General features: G+C 38.4%; 1 annotated feature.

Annotated features, from left to right (window-relative positions):
- Nucleotides 8594–9095: an enhancer, noted in NCBI's record as "H3K4me1 hESC enhancer chr17:67565237-67565738 (GRCh37/hg19 assembly coordinates)". NCBI's record gives its function as "activates a minimal SCP1, AML or CMV promoter by ChIP-STARR-seq in naive H9 embryonic stem cells {active_cell/tissue: H9 hESC(naive)}" and the evidence as "EXISTENCE:reporter gene assay evidence [ECO:0000049][PMID:30033119]".

Here is a 12466-nt window from a genome sequence, read left to right as displayed (position 1 = left end):
GGAGAGGGGGGTTTATCTTCAGCAATTTTCCCTTGTAATCTTTGCTCTCAGATATCCTGAACTGAACCCATTATTCTATTTCAAATAGTATCAGTAACCAAAGTCAACAGAGAAAAGATTATTTTTATTGTTTATGAAATACTTAATATTGTATGATATTGAAGGCTTAAACAAAATATCCTTCTTCATGGGTTACTCTATAATAATAATACCACCTGTAATAGCTTCCATTCAGTCCTAAATAAATTCTCCCTTCCTGCTAAACAGGAATATAAAACTTTAAAACCCATGAACAAAATTAACATTTTTAACTAGGTCATTTTAACTAGCCAGTTCTCTATTTATCGAGGATGTTGTGATCTAATCATTATTTCCCATAATAGGTTTTGCTTCTTTAATGATTTTAGTAGGAAAATCAGCCCCTTTTATGGGAGCTAGGATAATACACACATCCCATAACCGGTATCAGCCCTGTCTAAGTCACAAAACAAAAAGGCAACACAGTCATTTAAATCACAAATGAATACTCACATTTAGGCTAGGAAGAATATGTCCTAAGCTTTACCATAAGCTAATGGCCAAACTGTTAAGTCTACATAGATGTTTCTATGAATCTACTGAAAAGTAATGAAAGTATGAATATAGGAGAGGGTTCTCACTGAAGTCTAAAACATAGGTTAAAAGTTTTTTTTCCTTTACCCTTACAGAAAGGAGAGGAAAATCAGAAAAATATTAACATAACGTAACTGTCCTATGGAATAAATGCAGGTGTCCCCTGATGGGAACATAGTTCCCTCAACACTGTAGTTAAGACATTTTCCTCTAAGGCTAAGTAGAAGCAACAACACGGGTCTTACGCGCTTACCCATGCAGAGGCAGAACCAAAAAGTGTGTTCAACCGTCCAAACTCTGCTGGCCAGCCAACCTTAGACATTCGCGGAATATCACTTCTTCACCTGACTGGGTAGAAAATAACTGACATTAAACACCTGGAACCCACAACATTGTTCTCATCTGGCAGGCAGCATCAGAAAAACCTAACTGTCTATTTACAGGAGAATGACCACATATATAGAGTACATCCTACTATAACATGCAATCTGCAGTTTAAAATTAAAAGTGGTTCTGAGTATACTTATACAGAAAGAGCTTCAAGAGATACTTGACATGTTACAAGCACGTTTATGTTTGGGTGTGCAGTGGGATACCATTTACAGAAAGCCCAAATCACAAAAGAGCATAGCTCATCTAGAAGGATAAGTCAATCCAGCAACAGTGCCAGGATTGAGGGTCGGCCACCAACAAGGGCTTTGGGTTTATTTTTATATTTTCACAATGAGAAGTGTTGATGTATCTTTTATGTAAATGCCTTCTGCTCTTCTCTCCTTCCTCCAGCAAGGGTTCTGGCCAGTCATGGTCGTCATGTTTAGTTGCAAGAAGGGCAGCCTCTCATGCAGCAAGCAGCCATGATGGGCCATGTGGCTTACTATGTAGGATACATCACCTGTGTCCATCTTCTTGGGAGATTTCTCCTAGCACTTAGCTCTGGCTTCTTGAAAGTTATTTTATTTTATTTTATTTTATTTTATTTTATTTTATTTTATTTTATTTTATTTTATTTGAGGCGTAGTCTCGCTCTTGTCACCCAGGCTGGAATGCAGTGGCACGATCTCGGCTCACTGCAAGCTCCACCTACCAGGTTCACGCCATTCTCCTGACTCAGCCTCCCGAGTAGCTGGGACTACAGGCACCCGCCACCATGCCCGGCTGATTTTTTTTTTTTTTTTTTTTTGTATTTTTAGTAGAGACGGGGTTTTACCGTGTTAGCCAGGATGGTCTCAATCTCCTGACCTTGTGATCTGCCCGCCTTGGCCTGTCAAAGTGCTGGGATTATAGGCGTGAGCCACCACGCCTGGCCCTTGAAAGCTACTCTTAAACTTTTTAGCTAAATGACAAAAAGTTTTATCTTTTTGACCCCATTGCCTTTCAACTTCTTAGAAAATGCTCCATTTCAATCAAACAAGGTAGTTTGTTGCTCATAGTACTATTTTCCTGCTTAAAGACCTTCCGGAGCCCCTCTGCTCCCTGAAGCTTCCTCTGGTGGTCCTCTGAACCAGTATCTTTTTTCCTGAATTAACAAACTTTTTAGTAGATTTCCAAAGCACTTTAGTGAGTACTGCAGCTCATAAACTAGGATTAAAAACAACAACAACAAAATCTATGCCTTTTTTATTTCCTCCAGTTCGCTAGGCTTCCCCACAGCAGAATGATAGCATCAATAATTTATAATAATTCTCCAAGTAAACTAATCATGCAAACCACACTAATAAAACATTGTAAGCCTAGAACTGTGCTAATGACAACACAGTGGTTACAAAATTAATGATCTCCCTCAACTCTTTATCCAAAAATATCCCACAGCACTTTACGGTTTTAAGATATCAAGAAGCATTTTCCCTCTGCACAAGCAATTTGCTGGCTTCCCCCAGAAAGCACAAATGGCCAGGATAGGAAGTGTATGCTCAAAACTGGAAAATTACAAATATGTGAACCAGCTCTTGAAATTCCCCTTTGCACTGGATTAGAGCCAGGATAACGAGTCTTACACTTCCAGCCATGCATGAAAGATGTTTGGGGCTTTTTCTAATCCAAGACCCAGAGCACTTTTTCATGTTGACTTCCAGGGGACAAGGCACTAAGTGAAAGCATATCTTGCCACATGATTGACTTTTCTATTTTTTCTATTTATTTAAATGTGTCATCACAGCTAACCACATCCTTCATTTTATCCCATCCCATTAAGAAATACGATAAGAGATTTGAGCCCATCATTGGTTTTTTTTAAGTAAGGATTTAAACAGTAGACATGAAACAGAAGGAATAGTCAGAAGGCCTGAAATTGAGCACTATTCAAACACAGGTAAAAAGCATGAAATACCACCAAATCTGACCACCCATCGTACATTCACTTATCAATATGAAAACACTTCATCCACGGTAAAGGGCTTTGAAAATGTAAGTATTATTTTAAAGGCTATTATAAAATGTCCAATGAGGACTTTGAGCTAAGCATATTGTATAGCACTAAATGTAGTGTTGATAGGCACTCGGGATTTTTAAACATCGTTACTCATTGTTATTAAGATGAATAATTAGTGTAGCAGCTGTTGGTGAGCCAAACACTGATCTTTGATATGGACTTACCAGGAAGAAATGCCCATTTTCTCAGCCTCTTTCCTCTCCCCTCCCCTTGGACCCCAAAGCCACACAGGATGAGCAAAGCAGATCATGTGTTTGATGCATTGTATATGTGCAAACCAGACTGTGTACACATCAGTCTTCTTTGAGGAACTTGCACTAAGAGGATGGTAAGGAAGGAGCAAAGCTGACTGTCCGAGTTGACTTCCAATCAGGATATCCCAGCTGGAAGCAAGCCAGCTTCCGCTCCTTTGAATAAAGCAAGAAAGACGTGATCTTTCTTATAAATGAATGAACAATACCATCGGTGTGACCCCTTTTATAGGCTTCAGCCTTCAGTGTGACTCTAAGTCATTTGGTAACAAGTGAATTCCCGAAAAAGACTGGTCTGGCAATAAAGTCTGAATGTTCCAAAAGGCAGAATTAAACTGCCTAGTCATTCCTCTTCAAAAATCCACTTTTAAGTATTTCCTTTAACTTCAATGATTACCCTCAGGAGTAGTGAGAATCTAGGCATCTCATATACTGCTGACAAAAGAATGTGTGGGTGAGACCTCTTGGTGTCTTCGCATTACTTAACAACAAAAGCTTTCAGAATGTCCTTAACCTCTAACATAGAAATCCTGCTTCTAGGAATTTATCCTAAGTAAACATTTGTAACGTCACAAACACTTGGCTACAAGAACAATTTTTATAAAGCAATTTATAAGAAAGAAAAAATGCAAGACATCTTACATACACAGTAGTAATAGCCAGTTACATTCACTATAGTACACTCATATGATCACATATTTTGCAGTTATTAAAGAATGAGTATGCTTATTAAGAGTAATAAGAGCAAATATGTTTTCATTTTGGTAAATTTATATTTGTATTGGTTGTGTGTAGGAGAGAAAGACACACACACACACACACTTTGAGAGTCTAAACCCAAAAAATATAACCAGAGTTATTTCTGAATGCTAAGACTGTGTTTCATCTTTTTCTACTTGCTTATCTACATTTTCCCAATGAATATCTTTTATTTTAATAACAATTTCTTAGTTATGTTAAAAACCTGCAACCCGGAGCAGTACAAGATAGTTTTTGTTTTTGTTTAGTTTGGTTATTGTCATTGTTAATATTTTGTTTCTGGTTCTTATGTATGCTTTTTACTTGTTTGTTTGTTGTTTTAAAGGCAAGGTTATTAAGGTATGTTTAGCTCATGGACAAAAAGAGTTCTCCCAGCACATTTCCAGATTATCCTGCTTCGTATGCCTTTCCCTGCTGACCTGATGAAAGAGTTCTCAACTGCACTGGGGAAGAAAAATAACTTCAGGATGGAGAGTCAGAATAACCCAGATGAGGTTTACAGCCTGGGCAAGGGTGAAGGTTGTTGTGTGGACCCTTATGAACACAACTGAAGTTCCGGACTGGTTGGTAGTTAGCACACACCCTCCAGTTTCCATAATTGTACTTCCTTAGGCCACTGGTGTGAGATCCTTACTCTACCCCTTCTCCATGGGGTCATGAAGTTAATCCTGTTAAAACACATACACAAGATTAAATCATCTTTTCATTTTTCAGACAAGCACATAACACCACCCTGACACTGAGCAGATCATCTCCAGCTCCCTTCATATTATGCTACTGGAGACCAATCTTTATAACCAGAAGAGGAGGAGGAGGAGTTATTCTAACCTGTCGTTTTCTTCCTTTACATCACTTTTTCCTTTTAGGTCATATCCAAAAAAGGAAGGTAAATATATGTTTTAAATCATCTGCAGCAGTGTCTTAAATTATGTCATTTCTTAAAGGAGGAGGAAGAGGGAGTAGAGGAAGAAATAAGAAAGAAAACGGGAAAGAGAGGGAGGGACGTGGAGGAGAGGAGAGGGGAGGGAGGGGAGGGAAGAGGGGAGGAAGAAAGGGGACAGGAGGAGAAGGAAGGAAAGGAGAGGGGAGGGGAGGAGAAGGGAAGGGAAAAAAGGGGATAGGAGGGGAGGGGAGGGGAGACGAAGGGAGGGGAGGAAAAGAACATTAGTGATTATCTTTCTGGTTCCTTTTCTGCTGAAGCTTCACCTGTGAATTCTTTCTATGAGATCCACTACTGGGAAATTCTGGGAGCTCCAGGGAAGAGCTGCACAGCACATTTCTGGCTAAATAAATAAGGTTTTCTATCTTGATTTATTCATTCAGCGAGTACATGTCTCCATGTCAAAGGCTGACCTAAGAATCTTCCTTATAAAAATTCAGCAAGCATATCATTGCATTTTTTTTAATTAAAAGGATTGTGTGACAAGGGAAGCAGTATTCTACAGTTTATCAAGAATGAGTAGAGGAATCACTATACAAAGTATAATTTGTGCCTTTTTTCATATCTGACTATTCTATGTACTTTTTTTTTTTTTTTTTTGAGATGGAGTCTCACTCTGCCACCAGGCTGGAGTGCAGTGGCGCGATCTCAGCTCACTGCAAGCGATTGTCCTGCCTCAGCCTCCTGAGTAGCTGGGATTACAGGCATGCACCACCACACTCGGCTAATTTTTGTATTTTTAGTAAAGACAGCGTTTCACCATGTTAGCCAGGATGGTCTCAATCTCCTGACCTCGTGATCCACCCGCCTCGGCTTCCCAAAGTGCTGGGATTACAGGCATTGAGCCATCGCGTCAGCCTTTCTATGTACTTATTTTGTAGAATTCCTTCTCATCTGCTTAAATAACCATAAGTGATGAGAAATCTACCAAGTATAATATGACTTTTCATTTGCAAGTGTGTACCGCCCCAAGAAACATCATGGCGCCTTCTTCAAAGTACGCAGAGAGTACTCTTCAGATTGTAAGTCTGGCTCAAGAATAAAGAATGGAGAGATGTTCCTAGGCAAGTTGGAGGCTTCTAATCCCCACCCACACACTGCCACACCTTACCCCACATTCTGACACAGTCACCCAGACCCCTTGCTCTGTAGACAGACAAATTCACAGAAAGTCAGTATGTGCCTCAAGGCCCACCCTCAATAAGAACAAACGGGGTCCACTTAGAATTCTCCCCAAACCACAGCAATTTAATATCAAGGGCACCAAAGAGAAAAACAAGACAATTCCCATTTAGGACATAAATGAATACTACTGTTAAATATGATTTTTAAAGTCAACAGATAATTAAGAGGATATTTTAAGAACATTTGCCATTTAGATCTAACCTTTTGAAATTGGTGTCACAGTGGCCAAGTGCCAAGGGGCAGTCTCAGCAGCAGACTATTTACCAAGAGGGATCTTGCTCAGACTCTGTTTTACTCTGTGATGTTCACTGTATTACAGGAGTAAGTGAGGATCTGAGGATAGCTTTTTTTCATCTTGAGGGACCCCAAAGTTTCTATAAAAGAACGTGGGAAAATCCATAGGTACTAAAGGGAGTATCTTCTATCATTTCCATATTGTCAGTTGAAATAAGGAATAAGCATGTATATAGGTCAGCAGGCTTTTTCTTTGTAATTCTCTGCGGTCATCTCTCTTAGGGGCGTAACTACTGCTCTACAATAACAAAGAATTGGTGGATAATTAAGCTGCTTTACACAGAGAGGGTGTTTTTTGTTTTGTTTTCTTTTGTTTGTATGTTTGTATTTTTAATTTAAAAAGTGCATTCACAGCCAGGTGCGGTGGCTCATGTCTGTAATCCCAGCACTTTGGAAGGCCGAGGTGGGCGGATCACCTGAGGTCGGGAGATCGAGACTAGCCTGGCCAACATGATGAAATCCTGACTGTACTAAAAATACAAAAATTAGCTGGGTGTGGTGGCACATGCCTGTAATGCCAGCTACTCGGGAGGCTGAGGCATGAGGATCGCCTGAACCCGGGAAGTAAAGGTTGCAGCAAGCCGAGATCGCGCCACTGCACTCCAGCCTGGGTGACAGAGTGAGACTCTGTCTCAAAAATAATAATAATAAAATAATTAAAAGTGTATTCAGTGTGGTTTCTCAGTGCACATGGTGAGGACATGCTTCTGTAAGCCTGTTAAGTAAGAGTGCCTTCTCCAATTAAACATGCAAAGAAGGGTCTTTCCATTTCCATATTGAGAGAGAGCAAATAGAACAAATTCTATGCACTTAAATGATTATTTCAAGACTTAAAAACCTCGGGAACATTCTGATTCCAGACATCCATATAGCTCTTCACCATAGATGAGTCAACTCATTTCAACAATCACTTGCCCCCATAGACAAGGATGACACTCGATGATGTAGGAGATACACAAATAAGTGCTCATGAGTTTAAGGTATGTTGCCTTGGAGAGATTTTTCCAGGTGAGACTGATTTGGGTTTGAGACATGGGGGTAATACTTGCTTCCTCCATGATTACTAGAAAGTCTTTCCTCTCCTCCGTCCCCACACCCTGGTCTGATTAGTGCATGAGAAGACTCATGCGATCCTGCCTTGTGCTGGCCTAGTGGAACTTCTAACTCATTCCAAGATCTATTAGGTGACTTCAGGTGACTTTAGGAGTTACCAGGAAGAGGGGGAAAAATATGATGGTAGCCTACCTACACAGGTGTGGTTGAAAGTACCTGAGTCTGGGAGTCAGAAAAACGATAGGTTCAAATCCTAGCTTTTCCGTTTTATTTATATTAGGCAATCAGTCCTTTTGAACCTCAACTTCTCACCTATAAAAATGGAGAGAAATAAAACTGGTCTCTCACACTAGTTGTAAGAATTAAATGAAATTACATATAATCATTTAGTTACCAAGAAACAATACTGAGTAATACCACATGCCACTCATGTATGATAGTAATTTTATAACTGTTAATTCAATTCTTATCATATGTCAGCCACTGAGCTGGCATATATTATTTTACTTAATCTTTAAAGCAACCTATAGAATTAGCCTCATCTTACAAGTGAAGAAACTAAGACATCTAAAGGCGAAGAAATCTGCCCGAGCTTGTACAGTTTCACACCAAGAAAGCCTGACAATAAAATCCAGGTTCGACCAGTACCCTGGACTCTTCCCTGTGGAACAGTGCCTGATAATTGATAAGTGATTCATAAGTATTTACTGCTTCTGCAAGAGGGTCTGTTTCTTATTTTTAAAAGTTAAATCTAACTGATACTTTACCTATTGTTATTTGCCCCTGGAATACAGAGAAATCTTTATAGGAGAAGGAGGAAGAGGAATTTACAATCTGCTCCACTGGTAAGTATCATGAGCCACTGACAGGTTTTCGCCCTCCCTGGGTGCAAATCACAGTAGCCCTTCATAAGAAATACTTAGAAAGGGGCCGGGCACGTGGCTCAGGCCTGTAATCCCAGCACTTTGGGAGGCCGAGGCGGATGGATCACCTGAGGTCAGGAGTTCGAGAGCAGCCTGACCAACATGGTGAACCCTCCCCACGACTCTACTAAAAATACAAAAATTAGCTAGGCGTGATGGCGGGTGCCCGTAATCCCAGCTACTCCGGAGGCTGAGGCAGGCGAATCGCTTGAACCCGGGAGGCGGAGCTTGCAGTGAGCTGAGATCGCGCCACTGCACTCCAGCCTGGGTGAGGGAGCGAGACTCCATCTCAAAAAAAAAAAAAAAGAAGAAAAAGAAAAGAAATACTTAGAAAGTTGGTGTCTCATATATTATTCAGTTAGGAAGTATAGCGTCTCCCCTGCCGGCTTCACTGTATTGGTACTAGAAATGCCAGTGTTTGAAGACGGCTCAAACGCCAGGTACTTTAATTCGTTCTTTCGTTTGCCTTCGTAAGACACAGCGAAATGTTCCTGCGTCAGTGGATTCAGGGAATCCTGTGTGTTTTGCTGCCCCCTTGTGGCTATTTTAAATGTCTCTCAAGTGATTTATAACCTGGATTAAAATTTTCCAATTCAAACTCCTCACGGCGGAAGGTTAAGTATGCATTCTTGGTACCATTGCCTTTGATGTAAAACATGCACATACACTAGCACACTGAATTTTAATTTATCTCTGAATGATAGAGTTATGGCTAAATTCTCAACTGCACTTGAAAGAGATCTTTTAATTCAAACTTCCACAAGGTAGGATATTACTTGTCTCCAAAGTTTAATATTGGAGCTTGATCATTCACCATATTACCAACATAAATTGACCCCTGTATACAAAGGGACAGGAGGAAGATTGTAAACTTACCATTGTGTTACCTGCTTCCTAGAAAGATGTTAAACAATTTTAATACTTTAAATTGAGAGAGAAGAGAGAAGACCACACAAGACACAAGATACAGTCATTTTAAAAGGGTTTTTTCATCAATGCTGTGGAGATGCCAGAGATCGCAGCCACAGCTGAGAAGCGGATCAAGAAAGGAAAAAAATAAAACAGGAACCAAACTGATCAAAATATGCCTAACTTTTTAAGAGAAATATTTATTGGATAGTTTAAAATCAAGTTTGTTAATTTAAACATTTATCAACCCCTTCACTCCAGCTTTTCCGCGCTCATCAAAGAATTCCTACATAGGAGCCTTAACATTAAAGGGTTTTTTCCAAGAAATATGAAACAGATAAACTAATATTGTAAGGAACTACAATTATATACTATGAAACAATAATCAAACATTTGAAAAGAACTTTTTGCTGTTCCATTTTCTGTCAAAATTTACTCTCCTCCACTTCCACTTAAGTTAGTAAACTCTAAGTTTTGAAATAAATTGCCTTTGGATTAGCCAAAATGTTATAAAGTATAATTATTAAGGTGTTATATATTAACATACTTCATATATAACATATATGAAGTCTATATAATACCTCATATGCATTATATTATATAATAATATAATATATATCTTATATAGTATATATCATATATAATATAAACTTCCACAATGTAGAATATTTCTTTTCTCCGAAGTTTATTACTATATTATATATTGTTATATATTATATATAATAGCTCACATATAATACATTATATATGAAGTATATATTAATATATATCTATATATTTATGTCGTTATATATTATATATGAAGTATATAAATAATATATTCTATATGTAATATAGTTATATCATATATTATTTATATAACTAGTCTAATATATTAAATATTAAGCATATGTTAATATATTATGTTAAATAATATATATGATTATGATTATTAAATAGTATATTATATATTTAATACATTATAATATAGTATCACATAATATAAATTATTATATAAGGTATATGTGAAGTATATTATATATACCAAGTGTAATATACCTATATATTATATGTTAATTTATTAAGGTATAATTGTAAAACATTTAAGGAATGTAAGGTATATTTAATATGTAGTCAATGCATACAGAGACCTTGTTTTACTTTGTGGAAAAGTTGACACGGATGTTTGGGTATTAACAGGTTACAATCATTTAGTTACCTGGTCTGGATAGGAGATGGGGCACATTACTATAATTTGTAAATATTAGGGTACCCTTTATGAAAATTGCATTTCTTTTGATAGGAGTAAAGCAATAGATTTTATCCTTTAATTTTATTGGTTGCAAGGTTTCACTGCTATGGATCTTCTTGGGAAAATGTGCACACAATCATATACACGCAATTTTGCATTTAATTTTATGAGGCTCACAGCTCCTTAGAAGCCATCCGTGGGTCCTAGACACCCACGGCCACCTTGATCTGAATGCTATCCAGAGCTGTCCATTCAGCACCAGTGAGGCCGCTTGCATTGATGGAAAGAACACAGGTCCACCAGGCTGAGGGAAAGAGTAAAATTTCAGTTCCTATTATGTGGTGATGGGGATGTACAAAGCTGAGCACCTAAAGTGTCATTCTTGGGATGCCATATTCAAATTTCACTCAGGATTTTTTGATGTCAAAACAGTCTGATTTCCCTAGCCATAGGTCCATGAGAATACTGCCTATAGATTTTATTACATAGATATTATTACTGTCAACACTAATGGTACACCAACATAAATGTATCATTTAAAGAATGCACTACACCCTCAGTAAATTATTAAAATCAGGATATGTTACCAAAGGTAATTTTACAATTTGAAAGAGATGCAGTTTTCTGATGAAAAAAGATGGTTATTCCATTTCCTATGAGCTTGATAATTTCTTGCCTCAAAAGACATAATTCCTTTGGGGGTGAAGAGAAGAAATTTGCTGCATTAGCTGAATTGTTGGCGAAGGTTAGAATTATCATCTACCTGATATGAAGCAGATCATGACCATGGAAATACAATGGGAAGAACTGAAGCACAGCTTTTGTGCTGCTCATGTTCACAAATGAGACAGTTGCTTCTAAACCTTCTAGAAGCCATAGTATAAAATATGATTTCCCCTTTTGGATTTTTGCTAACTAATGAAGGATAATGCAGCACTCCACTGGGTTCACTTCTGTAAGGAAAATGAAAATTCATGTTACAGGCCCATGTGTATTATAAATCTTAAAATATTTCCATCTGCTTCTGAAGTTTCCATAAGAGAATGCCTGAAAGTCTTTTACAGATTAACAAGAGAGCACATGTAGAATTTCAGTGGAGGTTTGTCCCACCTCCCCCTGCCTGCCACCTCACACACACCTAGTAAATGTTTGGTATAATTTAGCTCTATTCACATGCAAAAGTTATTACACTTACATTTTCCATAACTTACTCTGACCACAAAACATTCATTCACTAACACCAGACTATCCAGAACACAGACGCTGTTTTCCTGTCTTCATCAGGACAGAATTGCCTTCACAGGTCTTCCAATCTGATGTTAGAAAATGTTGCCATCTCATGAATCACTGTAACTATTTAAAGGAGCTAAACCTAACTGGGTACTTTTTCAGTCCAGAGGCATGATTGCATTTCCAAATAATGGTGGAATCCGTCTTTGACATGGCTCTTAGAGAATGAATTCCTTTCTTTTGCTCCTTTGAATTGAGGCATAAAAGTAGTTCACATGCTCTATAGCTACTGGTTTCAACAAGTGAACCTGATTTTTTGCACTCTACCTGAATGGCATGGACAGTGCTGCCTACAACAACCCCCAAGTTTCAAAGGGAAAAAGACATCGTGCCAGGTGACAGCCCTCACCTTTCACATTTCTTAAGGAGTTCCCAAAAGGGAGGAACACATGGCCAGAGATCTCTTTTTCCCAATCCTCTTGTCCTACACTTTGCATGGAGTCAGTATGGGATCATCCATTCCCTCCAGCTGGGAAATAGAATTTGTTGCCACTGCTACAAGCTCAAGTTTATAGGTTCTGGCTCCTAGCCCCTCAATCCCCTACCTTTCCTTAGTTGGCTCCGCCAGTCCCTTTCACCTTAGGTCTCAGT

This window comes from Homo sapiens, chromosome 17 (assembly GCF_000001405.40).
Source record: "Homo sapiens chromosome 17, GRCh38.p14 Primary Assembly".
In the NCBI taxonomy this organism is placed as follows: domain Eukaryota; kingdom Metazoa; phylum Chordata; class Mammalia; order Primates; family Hominidae; genus Homo; species Homo sapiens.
Note: the sequence above shows the minus strand (reverse complement) of the source record. Positions and strands in the feature narration are given on the sequence as shown.